The 25,190-nt window shown below is 42.6% G+C and overlaps 1 protein-coding gene across 7 annotated transcripts; it reads right to left on the bottom strand.

The window, feature by feature from the left end:
- Positions 1-444: 444 nt before the first annotated feature.
- On the bottom strand, positions 445-4,800 carry TP53TG3E (TP53 target 3 family member E). 7 transcript variants are annotated; one of them, NR_158195.2, is made up of 4 exons: positions 2,655-3,084; positions 2,383-2,549; positions 1,696-1,984; positions 445-1,483 (listed from the first exon to the last, which is right to left on the bottom strand). NR_158195.2 is itself a non-coding variant. In XM_011546032.2 (3 exons), the coding sequence occupies exons 1-2, from the start codon at positions 3,014-3,016 to the stop codon at positions 2,513-2,515; spliced, it is 399 nt and encodes a 132-aa protein (XP_011544334.1). In that variant the 5' UTR covers positions 3,017-3,084; the 3' UTR covers positions 445-1,475; positions 2,383-2,512. The 7 variants fall into 7 exon arrangements, 4 of the variants coding, with proteins under 4 accessions (XP_011544334.1, XP_016879440.1, NP_001316990.1 ...); NR_158197.2 differs by having other exon boundaries at positions 445-1,475; NR_158196.2 differs by lacking the exon at positions 2,383-2,549.
- Positions 4,801-25,190: the final 20,390 nt, after the last annotated feature.

Below are 25,190 nucleotides of genomic sequence, written 5' to 3'. Positions count from 1 at the left end.
TGTCCTGCACTTTTAAAAATTGTTAAAATGGTTAATTTTATGTATATTTTACCACAATGTAAAAAAGGACTTTTTTAAATGAACAAACTGTAGATATCTGTAACAGCATAAATATCACAAATATAATATTGCATTAAAAAATTGATGTAAAAGTATCCATACTGTGTAATTTTTTATATTACACTCAAAAATCAAAACTGAGGTTCTGGCTTCCACTAATGATGAAGTAGCTAACTGAACTAACACTCTCACACAGAAAAATGATGAATCCTGGGTAAATTATTATATATCATTATAGAAACATTTCTATATACAATACATACATGAAATATGTGTATATAAAAACTGAATGCATATTTTGGCTATGACTTCCATAGGAGAGATAAGTATTGAAGATAGAATCCAGCCCATTTAACACCATCTTTTAAAAACAACACTCTTCACAGGGACAAAACAGAATCCAGTCTTTTTAATCCAGTCTTGTATACAGTCTCCAGGGCACAATTTCCAATTCAAGGGATGCGTGAAGACACGTGAAAATGTAATAAATACACAAGATAAAAAGCAGGCAGTAGCCATCTCCAAGATGTCCAAGATGTAAACGGCAGACAAGAATTTGAAGGCAGCTATTATAAACACGCTCATGAGGGCAAAGGAAAATATTCTCATAAATGAATAGATGTGAAACATCAGCAGAGAAAAAATAGCCATATAAAAAATGAGAAATAAAAATAATAATTTTGAGCTTTTCTATAGTTCAGAAACAGAGACATAGCAATATAATTTATCCAATCTGAGGAGAGGAAAAAAAAAAGAAGTTTAAAGAAAATGAACAGAGCCTTACAGACCTGTGGGATGACTGAGTCTGAGAAAAGGTGAGAGATAGAAAAAATCAAATGGAGTATAAAAGTAAATCAACAAAATTTAAAGAAAATAAACACAGCCTTAGAGACCCATGGAATTATTGAGCCTGAGGAGAGAGACAGAAGAATTAGATGGGTTGGAAAAATAAATCAATAACTAACAGCTGCAAACTTGCAAAAATTGTTCAAAAACCTATTTTTTTTTTTTTAATCTAAAGATCCACGAATCCCCCACAAAAGTACAAATAAAACCATACCAAGGCCATATTGCAATTTAGGAAAGCAGCAGGCAGGACTTTCAATTGACTTGATATGATTTATCATTTTTACTATTTGTAAGAATGGAAATAAGTTCTTAGAGTTTTGGTCTTGGAGAAAGTCTGACGTTAAGGACAAACGACAGTTATTAAAGGCAGATGACTTTCCAGACTTGTCTTAAATGTTCCATTCTTCACCTTAGAACTTATTTAAATTTGTTTCTTCCAAATACTGCAGTAATATTGATGCTCCAGAGAGATGTCCCACGGAGATTCTGCTCTTGTGCGTCTGCCCTGCACGGAGCTGAGGCAGTGTCTATCAGTTTCAGAAGCGAGTAGTCGTGCAGTACTTAACCTGAAAAACTTAATGGAAACATGAATTAAGAGAATGATCACTGTTTAGTTCTATCAGAAAACTATTAAAAGTGGTCCAAGGGGGTATTTAAAAAGAGATATTAAAGTATTTTCCAAGGGAGCCCTATTCAGGGTAGAAGCGCAGACACTATCCCTGACCTCACCACACAAACTACCCTCATGTGTTGGGAGGGACCAAGGGGCGCTCTGGTCCTGCTGACCTGCATTAATCACGGCCCGGAGGTCCACACTAAGACCCTGAGGCCTGGGAAGCAGCCTGGGTGGGGTCAGAGAAGCGGTGGATGAGGCTCCACAGCAGCTCCCAGGGTCCCATCCCCGTAGCTGTTTCCTTAGTGGATGCAGCAGGGTCAGGCCCTTCCGCTGTGACGTTTTCTCCTCTTTATTACACTGGTGGGAAAGTCTCCGTGAGAGGCCCGACCTAGATATGGACCACGCAGCGAGCCCGGGGGTCCAAGCGGCGCTCCTGGGGTGCAGAGGATTTGTGACAGCCTAGAGAACAGAGGAAATGGTTTTGAAAAGGCAAATGGCAGGTGACTAGGGACACGATGTTTTCACTTCTGGCAGTCAAGTGACAGTTTCAGACACTCATGAACGGGCTTCTCGAGGGGATCCCAAGGAGCCTCCAGGTCGGCCGCCATTACCCTACACCTAGGGACGGGCTGCACTGCGCATTTCCGAAAGGGCAGGCCCCTTAGCCCCACCCCTAGGAATGGGTGCACTGCGCATGTGTGAAAGGGCAGGACTTTTATCCCGCCGCTAGGGACGGGCTACACTACCCATGTCTGAACGGGTGTGACAAGAGGGAGGAGCGAGAAGGGACGGGGCGGAGCGGGAGATGGGCAAGAATAGGGGCGCGGTGCGGCCAACGTCCGGCGGAGGATCGTTACCACGGCAACGCTGCTGTGGAGGCCATGAAAGGCGAACGGCCCTTTGTTGGCTGACAGGAAATCGAGACACTCGTGAGGGGGCTTCTTGAGGCGATCCCAAGAGGCCTGAGAACTGCCACATCCGCGGCCCTTAACCCAGCCCTAGGGACGGGCCGCACTGCGCATGTCTGAAAGGGAGTGACAAGAGGAGGAGCGAAGGAGGGTGGGGCTGAGGAGGAGGCGGGGTGAGAAAAGGGGCGGGTCGCGCCCCACCCTTGTCTGAGGAGCGTTACCTTGACAACCCTGCCGCGGAGGCAGTGAGAGGCCACCGGCCCTTTGTTGATCTGCAAGGTATCAAACTTCGAACATGACAAGCATAAAAGCCTGCAGCTCGAGGAGACAGGGTGTCACAATTACCAGGTGAAACTAGCCGCCCTAGCTCCAATGTCTCTTCAGCAGGAGAGATTTGGAAACAGCAAGGCTCCTCTCCGCAGGGCGAAACTGCTGGGCTGCGAAAGGCGGGACAGGGAGCGGAACCGTCTTCAACCGTTCCGGGAGTTCTGGTGTCTGGTCCGCTCCCGGCTGTTGGTCGCAGGGCAGAGGGTCTAGGATGCCAGCTGGCTGCGGGCTGGGAGATGCAGGGTGAGGCGCGCATCGCGGTGCATACTGGGAGTTGTAGTCTCTCCACCGTTCCCCACGGTGGATGGTGGGGCTACAGGAGGACAATCCCAGATTGAGACAGGAGCGGAGGCGGGGCGCGGCCGTGCAGGGAGGGGGAGGGCGGTGTAGGCGGCTTCGTTTACCAAGCTTGCTGGCCATTGATTTCATGCCAAACCCTCGCCAAGGGGATTAAATCAGGAGAGGAACTTGAAGGGCAGGCCTGGTCTCGCCAGTGAGGAGGATGTGTTGTTGGGAAGTGCACCCCGCCTTTGCCTAAATCGAGAGTGTCTGGTCCTCACTCACGCGACTTCGACTTCCAGCTGCTCAGCTCGATTTTCTTTCCCACTCGCACCCGAGTTCTTTCCAGAGCGTCCCACCTCCTCCAGCCCATGGAGCCGTCTGCTTTCATAAGTGGCTGTGGAAACTGGTCTGAGGTCCCAGACGCTGTCACTGTGCTGCTGCCCTCCGCTCTCTCCAAGCAAAGCACAAGCTGAGCCGCCTTGGAAAGACAACCACGGCCTGGCCTGGGAATGCGCAAGTTCAGAGCTTTGCAGGGAGTGACCATGGGCTGTGGCTTCGTGAAAATGTCACGTTCACCAGTACCCTTTTTGCGGATGTGGCCGTGGAGCCATGAGGGGGGTAATCACTGGGTTACAAAGGTGCTGCTAAGAGCGGAGGAGAAAAACCCAATTCCCAGCCATGTGTCTGGTATGACATTTCACCAACCCATTTAAGTGTGCAGGCCTCCAAATATCTACCTAAAGATTATGATAGATTAGGCATTTTACACTAAAAATCTGTGGCTTCGTGTCCACTAAAGCCTGACTGGCCAGTGCCTAAAAGAAACAGACGATAACCTGATCCCTCAGGAACAGATGGTGTTCTAGCTTTGTGGAAGTGAATTTCAAGGTATGGAGCACTTGAGGGGTCTTTGAAACCTGCCAGGTCTCACATCTCTGCTTTTGGTGAAAAGCTCATCAACTAACAGTAGTCAGGAATGTGCCTTTACTTCCTGGGGCTGGTCTGTTGAAATTTTGTGTGTGGACAATGGAAACATCCAGGAGCATTTCTGCTTTCCTATAGCCTCTTAATAATTGATGCCCTAAAGTCCTATATCCTTTGATTCCTGGATGGTACAGATTTCATGCTGTTAAATCTAATCTGCAAAAACCTGAGCGTTAATCTCCATGAATAGAAGAACTTGTTGTTTCTTATTTAAATGCTCTTTTTTCTCTTGTCTTAGATTCTGAGCAGGATTTCCAATACGGTGTTGAAAGAAGTAGTGAGAGTGGGCATCTTTTTCTTATAATAAATCTTAAAAACAATTCCAAAATTTCACCATTGACAATAATGTTAACCATGGGATTGTCCTATAGCTTATAAAGAACATATCTCTTTATTTTGAGGTATATTCTTTCTATACCTAATTTGTTATAGATTTTATTTGGAATGGATTTTAAATTTTGTCAAAATAATTTTAGGCATGCATAAAAAAGTCATGATTTTTAATCTTTTTGTTGTGTAAATAAGGAGTATGGCATTTATTGATTTCCACATATTAAAATATTATTGCATCCCAGGAATAAATCCAACTTGATCATAATAAATGATCCTTTTAAAGTGCTTTTGAATTTCATTTGCAACTACGTTGCGGATGATTTTTCATCTATGTTCATCAGGGATATTGGCCTGTAATTGTTTTTCTTGTAATGTCCATCTCTGGTTTTTGTATCAGTGTAATGCTGGCTTCATAAAATGAGTTTGGAAGTATTCCTCCTCCTTCAATTTTTTCAAAGATTTGGTTCTTTTTAAATGTTTAGTAAAATTCAGCAACAAAGTCATCAGATCTAAACTCCTTACCCATTACTGATCTATTCATATTTTCTATTTCTTTATGCTTCAGTCTTGGTGGGTGGTACTTGTCTAGAAATGTATTCATGTCTTCTCCCTTATCCCATTTGGTGGGATATCATTGTACATAGGAGTCTGTGTACATAGCAGTCTTATGACCTTTTTTTATTTCTGTTTTACCAGTTGTAATGTATTCCCTTTAATTCTGATTTTATTTATTTAAGCATTTATTTCTTAGTCTAGCTAAAGATATGCCAACTTCATGTTTTCATAAAACAAGCTCTTACAATTTTTCTACATTTTCTATTGTTTTTCTAATCTTCAGTGTATTCATTTCTGCTCCGATTTTTTTTACTAATTTTATTATCTGGGAACGTTGGGATAAGTTCTTCCTCCTCTAGTTTCTTGAGTTGTGTCATTATTTGTTTATTTGTGATCTGTTTTCTCTTTGGTTGAAGGTGTTTACTGCCACTCCATTTCACTGGGATTAGCACCCATATGCATTGTGGTCTTTTTGTTTGAGTTCATCAAACTTCTGATCCTAAGTCTGCACCTTTAGCATACTGGTAAGCAGCAGTGCTAAAAGCCTACACGATGAGTAGGGGATTTAGGATGAGAGAATTACCCAGTAAGTTTTGGGAGGGACTAATATTAAGTTATCTTTCTCTTTTTTATTTCTCATCAGTGCCTGAACCATAAGGCACAAGGAATGAGCCCCTCATCGTGAGAGTGCATGTGACAGGAGCAAAGGAAGCGGCAGCTCAGGAAAGACAAGGTCACTGTTCTTGCTCCCATGACGGTAGCACTTGTTAGAGCAACTGAGTGACGTGCATAATTCTCTCCAAAGTAAAAGTCCTTTTTGTTTTTTGCAATTTTACAAAAAACCGTCCCTGGGCCTTTCCTGAGAGTGTGCAATAATAAGCAATGTTCATATGACTACCCGGGCATTTAGTAATGGTAAGCAGACCAGATGAAGTGACCACAGGGATATAGCCTGACTCTTGGTAATCAGGACTGAAGTACTCACTGATTAAGGTTCTGTGTTTTCACTGCCTTGAAAGGCAAGTGTCTTGCAAGCTGCATGCCAAACAAAGGCTAAATATGATGACACATCAGGCTGCAGCAGAGTCAACTGACCATATATGTCTAGGTGATGAGTGTGCTTTAATGTGGTCAGGGAAGGCAACTCATGATAAAGGCCACAAATGGCTATTTAGACCAAAGCAAAAGCCCACCAGAAACTGGTGGCTCTGACTGAGGTGACTTTTAATGTATCATGAAATCAGTAGGCCAAAAGCAGTTAAAGTTGAGCCGATGTCCTTAGTCATAGTTGGTTAATCCAGTTTGTATTGTGAATTGTTTGATTAGCCTCCCCTTTACCCCATTGGTGAGGGATAAATTACCACCCTTGTACTACTGGAACAGTTAAAACCATGGCACCAATCATTGGACAAATGAGATTGACAGCAGTTATTCGTTACATATAATCATGGAAGAAGGAAATTATATAAGGTATACAGACCCACACAGGGATTGCACTTGGGAGCAGAGAGAACAAACAGGGGGTGTTGGGGAAGGCTTTGTAGTATCAAGAGGGTGAGATGCACCTGGTTCCCACAGGAAGTTGTTATTGGTTGGTCTGGATAATTCTGTGACCTTGGGAGAAACTGAAACACATTATACTACCAATTGCTAAGACTACAATAACATACTATAATAGTGTAATGCTATAATGTACCATATACTGTAATACTAATGACAGTATGTTCTCCCTTTTTTGATAGATTCTCAGAAACTGTGACTTTAAGTAAAACAATGTACTATATAATAAAACCAATTTTACCATTGGCTAATTGATATAAACAAGAGTTAATTTTCCATGGCATATAGTATTTTGTTTCACTTAAAGTCAGTTTCCAGGGACCTATCAATGATGTTAAGTGAGCACTTACTGAACATGTATTTTAGTGATGTGTAATAGAAAGTAGCTATAAAAAATATACTATTCATGTACAAAACTACATGTGGCACACATTACAGTCATGAACCACATAACAATGTTTGAGAAATTGACAGACTATATATATGAGGGTGTTTTCTTGTGAGTATATATATATATATAAACCTACCTTTAAAGGCCAAAGGAGCTGAGAGTTTGAAGAATGAGGCTGACAAATCAAGTTTCTCAGAAAGAAACATTTAAGAGGAACATTTATTAATAGAAGCTATGTCTCAGATAGCTGAAGATGGTGGAACCTCACACTGTGACCCCCTAAACCCAGACACTTATCACAGGAAAGGGAATGTGAAGGACAATTGAAATCACTATATAAATTTGCCTAAGGGTAGGATTTGTGCTAAGTACCTGTTCACAATAGCATCAGGGTTGTTTTGATTTAAGGGTAGGGCTTATAGAACTGTAGGTTTCAATATATGACATAGGTATTTGAAACCCTCACCAAAAAACATTAGAGGAAGTAACTCTGTCATCATTTTAAGTTTCTTTTTTTTTTTTTTAGTAATTTAAAATCTTAAAGTCTGGTTATGTTAAATTAAGTAATCTTAAGTTTCTCACTAAAAATTAGTATTGCTAAGCATTAAAAGAATAGTTTTAAGACAGTTTTTACCCCAGCACTAGTGATTGGATAATACGGCCCCAGGCCCCACCCCTTCAGGTTCTGAATGAGAGAAGATGTGAGCCAACTCGTAGCCAGATGACAACAGGGTAAAATGTTCCAAGCCGCAGCCTTTTTCAGGCAGGACTTCCTCCTTATGCTGAAGCCCGGCCTTCACTGTGGGATATTTGCATTTAACCTTGTATATAAGGTTATTTTTATTTATAAGTTGTATATATGTGGCCAGGCATAGTGGATCTCACCTTTAATACCAGCACTTTGGTAGGCTGAGGGGACAGAAGCTCTTGAATCCAGGCGTTTGGGACCAGCCTGGGCAACAGAATGTGAGGGCCCCACATCAAAACTTTTCTACAAAAAAATGAAAAAATTAGCCAGGCATGGTCACACGTGTCTGTGGTCCCAGCTACTTGGGAGGCAGAGGTGGGAGGGTCACTTAAGCCTGGGAGGTAGAGGCTGCAGTGAGCTGAGATCAGGCCACTGCACTGCAGCCTGGGTGACAGAACAAGATTCTCTCTTTCTTTCTCTGCCTTATTTGTGTGTGTGTGAAGGGGGAGGGGTGTGTGTGTGTATTATTCAAAATAGAAACAAAATAATAACAATTATTTTTATTTTTATTTACATTTTTTTGAGACAGAGTCTCACTCTGTCACCCAGGCTCGAGTACAGTGATGAGATATTGGCTCACTGCAACCTCCGCCTGCCAGGTTCAAGTGATTCTTCTGCCTCACCCTCCCAGGTAGCTGGGATACAGGCACCCACCATGTTGCCCAGCTAATTTTTGTAGTTTTAGTAGAGACATGGTTTCACCATGTTGACCAGGCTGGTTTCGAACCGAGGTCAAGTGATCCGCCTGCCTCGGCCTCCCAAAGTGCTAGCATAACAGGCATGAGCCACCATGCCCAACCAATTACAATTATTTTTAATTTTTAGATTTTACAATCTTTCTGGCCTCTTGGCTTTTGAGGCAAACTGAGCTTTGAAATTAGGCAATCCTCTATTGCACCAATGTGCAATAGAAGTAAAATGTGAGCCACATGTGACAATTAGAATTTGCTAGTAGCAGCATAAAGAAAAAGAAAAATGAGTGAAATTGATGTTAACAACATAGCTCAATATATCTGAAATATTTTAACATATAATCAGAATGAAATAATTAAAGAAACATATATATGTGTACATATATACGTACACACACATAGACATATGTTTCTTTAACCCAGCATTATATATTTTTATGCACATATGTATATGTAACTAAATATTTAAATATTTTCTTGTATTTCTCCCCAGCATATCTTAGTTCATGCTGGGCACAATACAGTTGTTCAGTAGCCCCTGTGCCCAGTGGCTGCCACATTGCAAGTGCATCTCTGAGGGCTCTGACTTTTCTGACCTTAGGGAGGTTAAAGGGCCTGAATCCTCCTTTTCTGCCAGATAGGAGTGAATGCCCCTTCTCTGCCAATATCACTCCTGTTTAAAGGATAAGAGAGGTGGTGCCCTGAGAGACAGTAGGGCCTACAAGAAACAAGTGTTCACAGGTGGAACACTGCTGTCCACTTTTGCTTGGTGTGGACTCATCAAACCTCCAGAGATCATACAGCAGTCCAAAAAGTGGGGCCCCAGAAGAGGGAAACCTCATGTTTTTAGATCTGTCCATAGGCTTGATCTGATGTGGAGAGACTAGATTAAAGGCAAACTTTTTATCTTGCAACTTGGCCTTGGCAAATTAAATAGAAATATGTCACTATAAAAATCAATTAAATAAAAAGGAAGGCAGTAAGAGCAGAAAAGAGGAGAAAATACCTACAAGAAACAAATAGAACTATTAACAAAATGGAAGTAGTCCATTCTTTTCACAATTAAAATGAATATATACATAGAGTAAAATTTCCAACAGAAATGTGTAAATTGGCTAAAGAGATTGAAAGAAAAAACGATTTGTTTTCTGCTGTCTATAAGAAACTCACTTTAGATCTAAGCACACAGATAGGCTAAAAGTGCAAGTATGAAAAATATCTTCTAGGAAGATTGCAATCAAATGAGAGCAAGAGGGGTCATAATTATGCAAAATACACATTAAGTCAAAACTGAATTAAAGGACAAATAAAGATAGTATATAATGATACAAGTGTTGATTCACTGGGGAAGCTGTGTTAATAATAAATATATGTACACTTCACATCGGGGTTTCCAAATGTATAAAGCTAAGATCGACCCAGATGAAGAAAGAAATAGCTATGCAAAAATAGTAAGAGACATAATTATCCGACTATCAGTAGCAAACTCTGTAAACCGAACAGACATATAGAAAACACTCATCACAGTGAATAGATTCAGGAAGCTGAAGGCCCATGGGACATGACCAACTCAGCATTCCACTGGAGGCTATATGATCAAACAGCAAACTGTTTATCATGAATGCAGGATGTGGGCAAACTCACACTGCCCTGCCACCAAAAGGTTTGCTGAGGGCCTCATTCCCTGGCACCAGGCTCCTTGAAGTTATCTACTGAGAAATCCAGTGCCTATTGTTCTAAGAATGCAGTCTCTCGAGTCAGCTGTGAATCAAGCTGCTGGTGGAAAACCACCCCCGCCTTCTCACTATCTCTTTTACCTAATAAATATGGAGGGCTGTGTAAAGCTCAGGTACCTTGTCCACTAGAGGCAAGGTGCCCCTGACCCCTTTTTCCAAATATACCCCTTTGTCTCTTGTCTTTTATTCCTGCATTCACCCTGCTTTGTTCAGTCCAATAGGTCTGTGTAGGCTACAAATAGAAGTGAAAAAAAAGAAAAAAAAAAACACTTCACACAACAATATCAGAATACACACTTTTTCCAATAGGTCATGAAACATTCTCCTGAGTAGATAACCTACTAGGACACAAAACAAGTTTTACCAAATTTTAAAATGTTAAAATATGGGCTAGGCATTGTGGCTCATTCTTATAATTCCAGCATTTTGGGAGGCTGAGGTGGGAGGATTAGTGAGTTTAGGAGTTCGGCGCCAGCCTGGGCAACATAAAGAGACCCTCTCTTTAGAAAATATAAAATTTAAAAATTAGCTGGGCATAATGGCACATGCCTGTGCGTCCAGCTACTCAGGAGGCTGACGGGGGAGGATTGCTTGAGCCTGGGAGATCGAGGCTCTGGTTAGCCATGATTGAGCCGCTGTGCTCCAGCCTGAGCAACAGAGCAAAACTCTGTTTCAAAAAAAAGATTAAAATATTACAATCATTTTTTATTACAAGGGAATAAAATTAGAAATCAATAGCAGAAGAAATATGGAAAATCTACAAATATGTGGAAATTAAACAACGCACTCTTCTGCATGCTCTCGTTCAAGGGTTGGAAGACAATATTGTGAAGATGTCCACACTACCCAAAATGATCTACAGATTCAATGAGATCTCTATCAAATTTTAACTGTCATTTCACTTGGCAGAAATACAAAAAACATTTCTAAAACTTATATGGAATCTAAAGTGACTCTCAGGAGCCAAACAACCTTCAAAAAAAGAAATAATATTGGAGGCATCACACTCCTTGACTTTATAATGTATTACAAAATTACAGTAACCAAACTATTTAGTACTGACATAAAGGCAGACACACAGACAAATGGAACAGAATAGAGCACAGAAATAAACTGTCATATATATGGCCAAATGAAGAGTTATTTGTATATCCATATTCATTGCACAACATTATTCACAACAGCTGATAGGTGGAAGCAACCCAAATGTCCCTCAATGAATCAGTGAATAAAGACAAATTGGAATATACAAATAATGGAATATTATCCAGTTTTTTAAAAGCAGGAGATCTGATTATTTTTACACTAAGGATAAATCTGGAGGACATTATGTAAATAAAATAAATGAGTCATAAAAGGACACTGTGTGATTCCAGTTAAATATCTAAAATAGTTAAACTCTTAGAAACAGAAAGTAGAATAGTATCAGTCAGAGCCTCAGGGGAGGAGATAAAAGGGTAGTTGTTGTTTCATGGCTATTGAATTTTAGTTTTGCAACATAAAAACATTCTAGAGATATGTTGCATAACAATGTGAATATATTTAATATTATTTAACTATGTACTTAAAATATTTAAGATGGTAAATTTTATGTGGTTTTGACTACATTAATAGTGAAAAACTTTCTAAAGAGATACATATTTATCAATCTTTTCAAAAATTACCTTCAAATCCTAAAAATATCAGAAAAACAATAAAGAGGCCAGGTGCAGTGGCTCATCCATGTAATTGAAACACATCAGGAGGCTGAGGAGGGAGAATAGCTTAAGCCCAAAAGTTGGAGACCAGCATGGGCAGCGTAAAAAGACCTCAGCTGCAAATCACAAGCAGAAGGAAACTGGCAAATGAAAAAATATGTGAAACTTAAAACAGAACACTCTTGACTTCTTGTTCAAGGGTCAGAAAATTTAATATTATTAAGATGTCAATACTACTCACAGTGAAGCACAAATTCAAAGTATTTTCTATCAAAATCCCAATGTTACATTTTTTTCAGAAATATTAAGTCTTAAAATTCATATGGAATCTCAAGGGACAATGAGTAGCCAAAGTAGCTGTGGAGAAGAACAAAGTTAGAGGTATCACACTTCCTGATTCCAAAATATATTATAAAGCTATAGCAATACAAACAGAAAGACAAATAGATGATGGAACAGAATAGAGAACCCAGAAATAAACCTTTATGAATATCATCAAATAATCTTCAATCAGGCTGCCATGACCGAACAACAGGGAAGAACAGAATAGTGTTCTAAAATTGAGTATCAAAATGGAAGAAAATAAAATTGGACTTTTCACTTGCACCATATAGAAAACTATCTTAAACACTTAAATGTAAGTAAGATCGCTATAAAAGTCTTAAAATATAAGGTAAAAATCATGACATTTGTCTTGATAATTTTTTTAACATGACATTAAAAGCAGAAGTAACAAGAAAAAAGCAGGAAAATGGGACTACCTCAAATGTAGTAAGCTTTCTGATAAAGAGAAAACAGCTGGGCCTGGGGGACCACTACCACCAAGACGCAGAGACCAGTAGTGGCCCCGAATGGCTGGGCACGCTGATATTTATTGCATACAAGACAAGGGGGCAGGGTAAGGAGGGTGAGTCGTCCAGGTGATTGATAAAGTCAAGCAAGTCATGTGATCATGGGACAGGAGGCCCTTCCCTTTTAGGCAGCCAAAGCAGAGAGGGAAGGCAGCATACATCAGTGTTTTCTTCTATGCATTTATAAGAAAGATCAAAGACTTTAAGACTTTCACTATTCCTTCTACCGCTATCTACTAAGAACTTCAAAGAGGAACCAGGAGAATGGGAGGAACGTGAAAGTGGACAAGGAGCGTGACCACTGAAACACAGCACCACAAGGAGGGGTTTATGCCTCCGGATGACTACGGGCAGGCCTGGATAATATCCAGCCTCCCACAAGAAGCTGGTGGAGCAGAGTGTTCCCTGACTTCTCCAAGGAAAGGAGACTCCCTTTCATGGTCTGCTAAGTAACAGGTGCCTTCCCAGGCACTGGCATTACCGCTCGACCAAGGAGCCCTCAAGCGGCCCTTATGTGAGTGTGACAGAGGGCTCACCTCTTGCCTTCTAGGTCACTTCTCACAATGTCCCTTCAGCACCTGACCCTATACCCACCAGTTATTCCTTGGTTATATGAGTAATACAACAAAGAGTAATATTAAAAGCTAGTGATTAATAATGTTTATACTAATGATGGATAATGTCCATGATCATCTCTATATCTAATTTGTGTTATAACTATTCTTTATTCTAACTGTTTTCTTTATTATACTGCAACAGTTTTTACCTTCAGTCTCTTGCCTCGGCACCTAGGTAATCCTTCACACCCACATGTTTCTACAAAGGAGATATACAAACGGCCAAGAGGAATTTTAAAAGATGCTGCAAATCATGAATCTTTAGAGAAATGAAAAGCAAAACCCCAGTGAGATATTACCTCACATTCATTAGGATGGCCACTATCAAATAAGAGAAAATAACAAGTGTTTTCAAGGATGTAGAGAAATTGGTATATTTGTGCACTGGGTGGTGGAAAAAATAATCATGCAGCCATTATGAAAAATAGTACAGAGTTTCCTCAGATTATTAAAATTGGAATTATGATGTGGTCTGGCAATACCATTTCTAGATATCTATCTAAATGTGCAAAGCGGGACCTGAAAGAAACATTTACATACCCACGTTTATGACAGAATTATTCTAAAAATCCAAAAGGTAGAAGCTACTTGAATGTCCCTTGACAGATAAATAAGTAAATATGATATATACATACAATGAAATATGATTTTAAAAGGAAATCTTATCACATGCTGCAATGACAATAAACCTTTAGGGCATGATGTTAAGTGAAATGTGCCAGGAAACAAAGTGACAGTGATTGTGTGATTCCACTTATGAGATATCTTAAGTAGTCCAACTCACAGAAATGGAAAGTAAAATGTTAAGGGCTCAGGAGAGGGTAAAATGGGCAGTTGACGTATATGGGTATTGAGTTTTAGTTTTGCAATGGAAAAGCTCTAGAAGCCTGTTGCATAACAATGTGGATATATGTACCACTAATAAATTATGCAATTACAAATGTATAGACTGGTAAATTTTGTTGTGTTTTATTACAGTTAAAATATTGTAAAGTGATACATAAAAGAGATACCGAGTTACAAACTTTTTGGAAAATTACCTTCAAATTATAAATGTGTTTTCCTCACACAAAGAAAATATAGATTTGTTCAATAAATACGTGGGTAAGTTAAGACTACTTATATGACTACTGTCCTGAACAAGATAAAACAACTTTTGACACCAGCCAAGAAGAGAAATATGCAAGATAATTAAGAAGAAATAGACTATATTTATAGAGGCAAACAAACACACGATTTTATTGGTGGTAGATATGGCTGATTCATATTTTGATTAAACATCACATTGACTTAACATGTATATAGAGTTGCAGATTTACATCCAAAATCATAATACGTAGGTAAAACCAAACTCACAAAACACGAATGTCAAGGAACTTACCAAAAAAAAAAAAAATAGTAATATGAAATTTCAAAAAAGAATGAGAGAAACAACGAAAAAACTCCTATATAAAACATAGATTTACAACTAAGAAAGAATCCTCCTAGATAACTACAATCTTCAGCTGTGACTGTGCATCCGTGGTGAGCAGGGATTTTGAATCAAGACTGCGTTAGGAAGAGGCTCAAGGGGGCAGACAGTGCCACCTCCAGAGAAGCCACTGCTCCTACTCCTGCCTCTCCTGCTACTGCCGCCACGGTCCTCTGCTCCTGCAGCCCCCACTGGGCGCCGGATTCCTTCTTGGAGTGCGGAGGTCCTGTTCCTTCAGGAACGACAGACAGCTTTTCTCCCCGTCTCCTCGTTTGCTCAGCCGGCAGGTGCAGGACTGGAGATCTGAGGTGGTCCTGCGTCTCGAGGAGCCGGGCGCCCGACTGTGAGAAGGAGGAGGCAAGCTATGGGGAGAGGGGGCGACAGGAATGCCAGGCTCATGAGGCCGGCGGCCGCGGCCCAGGCAGGGCTGGCTGCTGCCTGGGCCGGATGGTAAGAGATACTGTGGAAAGAAAATAAAATAAAATAAGTAATAATAAAGTTTAAAATAATAAACCTAACATAGGTAATAGTTAACATTCAGCATAGGTTACTTAGAAGTTATACATAGGCTAAGAAATTTCAGCAGTCCATTCCAGCATTGCTAACAAGTTGCAGCTGCGAGCTTATCTCAATCTTCCAAGCTTATTGCCTGCCTCCAGACCCCCGCATATTCCTGTAATTCGTGTTTTCCCTTACCCCAGCTCTGTTCAGCTTCAAAGTTGACTGGACAAAATAACTAAATTGTAAGTTCTCTCCGAATTGTCACGGGTTGGATAATTTACTGTCTTTGTCTGAAACCTGTAACCTGCCTTGTTTTCCCGCCTCAAACGGCACTTAAGCAAGCCTGCTTTCTTTGCAGGGGTCGGCAGCCATTTTGGGCATGAGCCTGCTGTTGGCTCAGGTGCCTGAATTAAATAAAAGTTCTCTTTGGTCTCCAAAGGTCTCTTCGTGTTCCTTGGCTGGAGTTTTACTACAACAGTATCAGATGTCGCCACCATCCCCATCCTTGGCTCCCTAGCCGTCATTCATACATCCTGTGTTCAACAAACAGAAGTGGCAGCGGGAGCTGCTGCTCCGGGAGGGGGAGTGGCCTGGCAGGGGGCACACAGCTGCTACCTGCTGCGAGGCGAGTTGGTCTGCAGCCTGGGCCTTTGTGCAGGACACATCGCCGCCCTTGTCCCGCTTGCTCCCCCGCCTGCCACGCAACATGCTCAGGTGCCAGATCTCGGGCATTCCTGGCAAGCGTACTGTGGCGGGGAGGCAGCAGGGAGGAGGGGTTTGCCAGGAGCCCTGAACAGAGGTTCTTGGCATGGAGAAGAGACAGAGGTGGCTGACTGGTTCCAGTTTTAGGTGGGTGGGGGGAGGGGGTGGCAAACCCCATGGGACTTTGTTTTTTTCAAGGAGACTTCAGTTCACTTCTTATCTGTTCTCCACCCGCTTAAGCCTCTGAGAACAGAGGAGATGGGGCTCTTTTAAATTGGCCTGGCCGTAACGGTCTGGACCCTTGCCGCAGGGCAGATCTCATTTGGGGGCTCTTTGAAGCCTGGAGGCTCACGCCTGTCCATCCCAGGTGTCTTCAATATAGGGTCAAGTTAGGCCTGGCTGGCAATGATGCTGGAATGCAGGACGATCTGGCCAGATCTTCGCCTGTTACAGGATATTTTAGCCTTCAGCACCCTGCACCATTTCCCTCACCTGCAGAAGCCCCCGTGAGCCTCAGTGTTGCTAGGGCCCAGACCCTGGATGCCTCTCTATTAGAGTCCCACTTTACCCCACCTAAATGCACCAGGCCCTTACTCTGCCTTTCCCCTTTTCCCAGAACATGCCCCATTCAACTCCAACAGGACATGTCTGGACCACGTGCACCCCTCTTCAGTGTTAAAACAGAGAAAATAATGTATTTTTCACTGAACATGTAACTGATTTAACATATAAGGAGATCAGCTTTATGTGTAGATATGCATGTAAATATACACAAAATTTCTAACGTTGTGGGAAAATTAACATCTTTACACTTTGTTCAGTGATTTTATAGTTTTCTCTCTCTTACTCACTTGCTTCTTTTTTTTTTTTTTTTGAGACAGAGTCTTGCTCTGTTGCCCAAGCTGGAGTACAGTGGCAAAATATCAACACACTGCAGCCTCTGCCTCCTGGGTTCAGAAGATTCTCAGGCTTCAGCCACCCGAATATCTGGAATTACCAGCATGAGTAACCATGCCCAGCTGTTTTTTGTGTTTTTAGTGGAGACGGGGTTTTGACATGTTGCCCAGGCTGGTCTCGAACTCCTGGCCTCAACTGATTTGCCCACCTTGGTCTCACAAAATGCTGGGATTACTGGCGTGAGCCTCTATGCCTGGCCTACTTGTCACTATCTCTATGTTTATTTGTTCAATAGGAAAATTCTCAGTGAAGACTCCTCAGCATGATGAAGATAAGCTTGCACAATCAGTCATTGATAGATGCTTAGTGGAAAAACTTCCAATTCCCATTTGCAGCTCTCAGAGCTAGGATTAAAAACTCCTGGTCATAACCTCATGTGATGAGAAGTTATAGCATGCCCTCATTTTCTACATATCCACCTGCATTTACAATTAGCTTTCAAACTTGCTAGAAGGGAAAGAAGTGGGAATGTGTCCCCCTTAGAGCTACTTTCCTCCCCTTGCTGGGTTTCCAGTTTGTGCATTGTCCAGATGGCCCAGGAGCTTATGATCAAAGTGAAGAGGTCCTGTTTGTCATGAGAATGCTGCTTTGCTGCATCAGGATTCAGTGAAACTGTTCACCGCCTGGAGCCCATGTGGACTCCAGAGGCAGGATGAAGCTCAGAAACCGTCACTGAGGTTAGGAAGTGAGCACCAAAGTTGAGGGCTGCCCACAGGAGAGGGCCAAAATGCTCCCTTTGGATTTCCAAGTGGTTGCTTCTTGCATCAGTCTTGCTTCTGACCACACTGTGTTCCTGGTCCCGTCTTCCTGGCATTTTGCTGTTTGTGTCCAAGGGAAAGAGTCCTGGATGGCAGTGCTGAGAAGGATGCCTGCCTGCTAAAGCTGATCCCCTGGTGAGCTCTGCAGCCTGTTAAGCAGAGCCTGAAATTCTTTCTCACTGAGTGGTGATTCAGACCACGGAGGGCCCTCCTCTTGTGGATCTGCATTCCGAAAAGATTGTGCCTTTTCCTGAAACTCTGGGACTTGTAGAAGATCATGCAGATGACTGGTGTGGTTGCTCCAGCAGATAGATGGCTCTTTCATGGCTTGTGCCTGTTTCTGCCACAGGTAGACCTATGTGCATGGGCTACTAAGGTGCTCCTGCTCCAGGTTGCCATTGAATCATGGCATCCTGGGACCCGTTGCCTAAGCTCCACCACTTCTGAAGGTGGGATGTGTCCTGTTGACCCAGACTCTAAAATTGTGGCTAAGGATGACCAGGCTGTGGCTGTCCCTTTAAGGCAGAACTTCCAGGCCAGTGTCTTATTTTTCTTGTCATCCTAAAGTTTTCCTTTCGACTGAGGCCAGAAACAAGTCTGTGTATGGGAGAGCCTCCCTCCTAGAGTTGGTACCATTGACATATGACTCCTAAGTGCCAGAAGAGGTTGAGAGAACTCTCCCATCTGCACAGCCAGGGTGCTATGTGCATCGTGACCCTTGGTGCCTGGCTCACACAGCCTGCAGAGGGATCCAAAAAATCACAGGTTGTGGGAGGTGAAGGAAGAGCTGGTACAAATGACAGGTGGCTGCTGACAGAATAGGAGGCAGGAAGAAGATGAGACCTGCCTGGGGTAGTGCACATGTTTTGTTCCAGCCAAACAGTCAGATGAGGTCTTGGTCTTGGACCCGCTGCCAGGGAATTCACAAGCCCGCTTCTGCTGTGGCCTGGGAGCTGAGGTCTTTGGTTCTGAAACCAAATGTAAATTTTGGACTCTGAAATGCCTGTCTGTTTAGCCAGTTTCTCTATAATGGTGATTCCAGGAAAGGAATTCTCTTGGAAAATGTTGAGGGTCCTTCTCAAAGGCTTTAATGAGTACACTGGTGTGTGATTGAGTGATGGATGTCCTTTCCTCCTGCCTTCTTATTTGACTTGCACAATAAATATTAACTATGGCAGTTACGGTCATATCTTTCTTTACAACATAAGAAACTTCAAGTCATTCATTGATGACACCAAAGCCTCATTCTCCTACATTAAACATTCTCCTACATTAAACTTCTTGAATCTTCTGTGCCAACTGTCTAGAAAACCTAAACACATGAAATACTACAAATTAGAAATAAATACCTCAATAGGCACCAATTATAAAAGCAAATCCAAGAAGGAACAGAATATATGAATACACATATAACAAGTAAAGAGATTCAATTAATTAAAAATCTTCACAAAAAGAGAAGCCCAGAGCCACATGGCTTAACTGGTAAATTCTACTAAACATTTAATGAAGAATTAATGCCAACTCTTTACAAGACCTTCCAGAAAATATGGGACAGTTATTGGGAACACTTCCCAATTTGTTCTGTGAGGCCAGTATTACCCTGATACTAAAGGCAGACAAAAGCATCAGAAGTAAATATGTGTATGGATGAATTTCCCTGATGAATACACACAGAGAAATTCTCAAAAAAGCGAAATGAATCAAGAATATATCAAAATGAATGTACACCATGACCAAATGGAATTATTTTACAGATGCAATATTGATCTATCCGATAATCAATCAGTGCCTTACACAAAGTAATAGGATAAAGGAAATTAACAGAAAGAGCCTTTCAACAGACACAGGGAGCATTTGACCAATCCAATATTCATTCACAATCTCCCTGGAAAGGAAGGGTACAAGCAAACTTCCTAAATCTGCTAAAGAGCATCAGTGAAAAACTTACACCTAACGCCATAATAGTAAAATACTGGTTGTTGTGTCTTGACATTTTAGAACAAGGCAAAAATGTTAACATCCAAAGAAATTACATGAGAGAAAAAAACAAAATCATCAATGTGGGAAAATAAGATGTTAGAATTGTCTATCATTGCAGAGGACATAAGTGAATATAAAAGTTTATAAAAAACTCATTAAAACCCACTAAAACCAATACATGAGTTCAGCAAGGTCACAAGATACAAAATCAATATGCAAAGTTCAATTGTACTTTTATGTACTAACAATGATCAACCTGAAAATAAAATTAAAAAAACAATCCATTTGTGTATGTATGAAAAAGAAAGAAATATTTAGGAGTAGATTTAATGAAGTGCAATTTTACCGTAAAAAGAAATCTTTGTTAAAAAATTTTAAAACACTGAAAAAAATAGGCATCAATGTTTATTTAGTTAATGTTATTCCATTATCCAGTGTATCCATTTAAACTCCACACAATAAAACAAAATATATTTTAGCATTATTTTAGTGTAATAAATACAGGTTTGTAGAAAACCCATGAAAGGAACTAATTCTACATGTCCAGAATAGCCCATCCTAATTTTTCTATTTTACATCTACTGTAAATCAAACCGATTTTGTTCCATATTTTATAGCGGAACGTAAGATAAAATCCAAATTGTTAAATATGTGAGATTGATTATAAGCCCACCAAGGAGGTTTTTACTCAGTGTGGGAATTCAGAGAGCATGAAGTTGCAAAGACAGAAGCAAATGTTTTTGAATGAATTATGAGGGACAATACTCACAGGAGTGCTTCACACTTTTATCAACTGACTCATGTCATCTCACTTTAGGAGAAACTGCCTCTAATTTTAGACATTGGTTCGTAGCAAATGCTAAATGAACCAGCACCAAGTTTATATCCAGGAGAACTGCTTACTCTAGAGGATTTTGTCTCTTGGATAATGACATGATTCTGTCTTTCATAGGCTACTCCAAAACTTCTATAATGATGGTAGAGTTTAGTGAAGTGGAGCATCGGCATGCCATCCCCATGCTCCTGACAAGCAGCAGCAGCTAACCTAAGCACAGTCACATAGGGCATGCCATTGACACCCACCTTGCTGTTGTTCACCTCCACATACTAAGTTGCCATACACTTTGCAGTGGAATTTCACCTTACTGCATCTGGTTGGTCAGCAGTCCTGCAGGTAGAAAGAGTTGGTCAGGAGGGCACATTGAGAGAATAGATGGGAGCTCAGAGGCTGCCTAGCTCCCTGCACCCTGCCCACAGGCCACAGTCCTCACCCAGCTGTCCAGCATGCATGACTGCTGAAGGCTGCTGCACTTGTTCTTCATCACAGAGGTGGGATGAAAGCAGTCTGAGGGCACCACACTCCATGATCAGGGTCTACTTCTGGTGCCATAGCTCCAGGTGGAAGGACAGGTAAGCAAAAGACAGGTCCCACCTTCCACATCCAGCCCACACTCCCACCAACTTCCAGGCCCACCTCAATATCCTGATGTGATGCTCTCCTTAGACCTCTTGTGGTTCTTCAGCCAGGAGATGGAGAGAGTGGGGTTGCTAGGAGCCAGGCAGTGAAAGTTGGTTGTGGTGGCCAGCATGGCTGGCAGTTTCCTGTCCATCCACTGGGGCAAAGTCCAGGAAGGGGTCTCTGCTGGTGGAAGCACACATGAAGGCCATAGCTGAGGCGAGGAACAGAGACCCATCTGACCAGACCCCCGATTCAAGATCACCCTGCCCACTCCGAGTCTCATGTTTTTCTCCTGTGTAGGGAGAGTGTTGACATGTCAAGGACATCTACTTGGGCTGAATGAGGCTCCCAGGAGCTTCAACACAATGTCCCCACCCAGTCATGCTCAGAGCTGGCAATGTGTGCCTTTCTATTCCCTCTGCTTCCCCCAAGTGGCTGCTCCTGCTGAGAGGCTGGGGTTCTTCATCCTGGCCTGAAAGCCTCAAAGAATAATGGAGTCTCGAGGGGATACCCCACCTGCACAGGGAGGCACATGGGGAGGGCCCACCAGGAAGGAGGCCCAGCAGGTAGCCCAGCTAAGTGAGTGAGTCAGGACAGGCATTGGGAGCAGTTTACCAGGAGAAGAAACCCAGCCCCTTGCAGAGCTGGGAGCCTCAGAAGCAGCTGAGAAGCCTTGGTCCACAAGCCTCTGAGCCCATAAGCCACCCCCTGCAGAGCTTCAGGGCCCGGTGGGCACTGGTGAGGATGGCGGCCTGGAGGCTTCGTCTCTTTTTTATCCTGACTTCCAGGGCTGTCACCATTCCCCCTCTCACACCTCAGCTAGTTTTTCTAATTTCTGGGTGCTGGGGTGGGGCTGCCTTCCTGCCTGGACTTGTGGGTAGGCTCAACTGCCTTACCCCCAGGAGAGAGGCACCAGGGGCCCAGGAAAGAGAAAGGAGGCAGCCGCTTCCCCACAGTGACCTCCTTGCCATTCACATGCAGCGACAGGCCCACCTTTCGGTGGAGGATGCTGAAGCACAGCCGGGAGCTGTGTAGAGAGACGCTGGGAAGAGGCACCAATCACAACTCTGAGCTGTCCTCTGGGATTCCAGGGGTGGGAGATGGGGACCCACTGGTGATTAAGACAGCTCAGCAAACTGTGGCACAGGATGTTCCCAGGACTGGGAGACAACAGTGACTCAATGCTGCTCACTTCTAGACTGTGCCTTCTTAAAGTGGCTCTTCAGTTACCCCCAGAGCTTGAGCCCACACCATCCTGGGATGGCTGGGTAGGCAGAGGTGAGCAGGGGCTCAGGGGGAGTGCACAAGGGTGTGTGGGCAGGGGCAGAGGCTGCTGAGGCAGGTGAGGGGAAATTTTCATCCTTTCCTGTCTGCTCCTCCCGGGGTCTACTTTCCTCTCTTCCCTCTGCCTCTGGCTCCCTGGCTGGCTCCTCCTCACTTTCTTTCCTGCTCACTCCAGAGGTCTCAGGGGCTCAGCCCACCACCAGTGGTCCCCAAGTTGCAGCTGCCTCTCCCATGCCTATCCCATGAGGACCCTCATCTGCCTGAGCACATCTCTGGGCTCCTCTGAAACCAGAAGCCCCATCTTCCTGACAGACCCCTCCACAACTGGGCAGAGTTCACCTGCCACTGTTCCAGGCCAGAATGACTGGGAATTGTTCCGCTGCTGCTGTTTCACACCCACAGCCAATCCCCCACAAATGCTGTTGGCATCACTTTTACAACCCTCATGGCCACCCTGCCCTCCTGCTGGGCTGTAGCTTTTGTCCCCTCCATCCATCTGCCCCTTGGCAGCCACCTGAGCCCCCAAGCACTGCTGTGCTCACACCTACAGTAGCCACCTCACCCAGAGCCAACATCAAAGTCCCCACAGGCCAATCCTGGCCTCCTCACTGCTCCTGGAACCCCAGGACCCTGTGCCCCAGTCTCCCCATCTGCAGCATGTGTGTCTCCTCTGACCCCCAGCCTGCCCCACAGAGCCCAAGACATCCAGAGCCATCTAATAGATATGTAATACATATCAATTACATAATAATTCATGATACATCATATTATATACAAAGTACGATGTCATAATGTACTGTGATGCCATAATACATATGAAGTATAATGTCATAATATATTGTGATGTCATAACACATACTGATGATGGTGTCACAATATACTGTGACGTGATAATGCCTATGAATTTTGATGTCATAATACATGTGCATTATGATGTCATGATATATTGTGATGTTGTAGTATAAATTATGATGCCATAATATATTATGATGTCATGTTGTGTGTGCATTATGATGTCATAATATATTGTGATGTCATAATACATATGAATTATGATATCATAATATGTTGTAATGTCATAATATATTTATTTATCACATTAATGGTATAATAACATAAACTTTGTCAGGTAATTTTACAAGAAAATTCAGTGAAATTTTGTAACAATATTAACATCTAAAGTAGCTTATAATCATGATGAAAAATGAAAGAGCTGCAGGAATCTCACATGGTAGGAGTTGAAACAGGAAAGATCAGGGAGGGGTATGCTTCACTTTTAAACCACCACATCTCGTGAGTACTCACTATGACAAGGACAGCACAGAGCCATGAGAAATCTATCCCCATGATTCAACCATCTACCACCATGCCCCACCTGTAACATTAGGGATTAAAATTCAATATGAGATTTGGAGGAGACATCTAAACTATATTATATGACCATTAGTGTGGGCGAAAGGTCACCAAGGTGCCAAGGCAAGAGACTGAAACAAACTGTTTCAGTATAATAAAGAAAATTGTTAGAATAGAATAGTCATAATACAAATTAGATATAGAGATGATCATGGGCAATTATCAATCATTATTATAAACATTATTAATCATTAGCTTTTAATATTACTCTTTATTGCATTGCTAATATAACCTAGGAATAACCGGCGGGTATAGGGTCAGGTGCTGAAGGGACATTGTGAGAAGTGACCTAGAAGGCAAGAGGTGAGCCTTCTCTCACGCCCCCATAAGGGCCGCTTGAGGGCTCCTTGGTCAAGTGGTAATGCCAGTGTCTGGGAAGACACTCATTACTTAGCAGACCATGAAAGGGAGTCTCCTTTCCTTGGAGGAGTCAGGGAACACTCTGCTCCACCAGCTTCTTGTGAGAGGTTGGATAAATTATCCAGGCCTTCCCACAGTCATCCAGAGGCCTAAACCCCTCCCTGTGGTGCTGTGCTTCAATGGTCACACTCCTTGTCCACTTTCATGTTCTTCCCATACTCCTGGTTCCTCTTTGAAGTCTATAGTAGATAATGGTAGAAGGAAGTCTTAAAGTCTTTGTTCTTTCTTATAAGTGCATAGAAGGAAACGCTGACATATGCTTCCTTCTCTCTGTCTGCTTCGGCTACCTAAGAGGGAAGGGCTCCCTGTCCTGTGATCACATGACTTGCTTCACCTTGTCAATCACTTAGAAGATTCACCCTCCTTACGCTGCCCCCTTGTCTTGTATGCAATAAATATCAGCCCGTCCAGCTGTTCGGGGTCACTAGTGGTCTCTGCGTCTTGGTGGTAGTGGTCCCCCGGGCCCAGCTGCTTTCTCTTTATGTCTTTGTCTTGTGTCTTTATTTATTATAATCTCTCGTCTCCGCACACAGGGAGAACACCTGCTAAACCCCGTAGGGCTGGACACTACACATTAGAAAAACAGATGAGGCTGGATACGGTGGCTCATGCCTGTAATCCTAGCACTTTGGGAGGCCGAGGCGGGTGGATCACAAGGTCAAGAGATTGAGGCCATCCCGGCTAACAGAGTGAAACATGGTCTCTACTAAAAATACAAAAAATTAGCCAGGCATAGTGGCACACACCTGGAGTCACAGATACTCGGGAGACTGAGGCAGGAGAATCACTTAAACCCAGGAAGCAAAGATGTAAGCTGCACTCCAGCCTGGGCAACAGAGTAACAGAGCAACAGAGCAACCAGCACTCCAGCCTTGGCAACAGAGCAAGACTCCGTCTCAAAAAGAAAAGAAAAGAAAAGAAAAACAGATGAAACATTCATGGTTTCTACAGATACTTTCATTCCAGAGTAAACGGATACACGATTGAATTCTGTGGTTAGAAGAGAAAAGGGAGGTGTACGGGGGACTTTGGCTGCATT

This window comes from Homo sapiens, chromosome 16, assembly GCF_000001405.40.
Source record: "Homo sapiens chromosome 16, GRCh38.p14 Primary Assembly".
NCBI lineage: Eukaryota > Metazoa > Chordata > Mammalia > Primates > Hominidae > Homo > Homo sapiens.
This window is presented reverse-complemented; position numbering and strand designations above follow the sequence as displayed.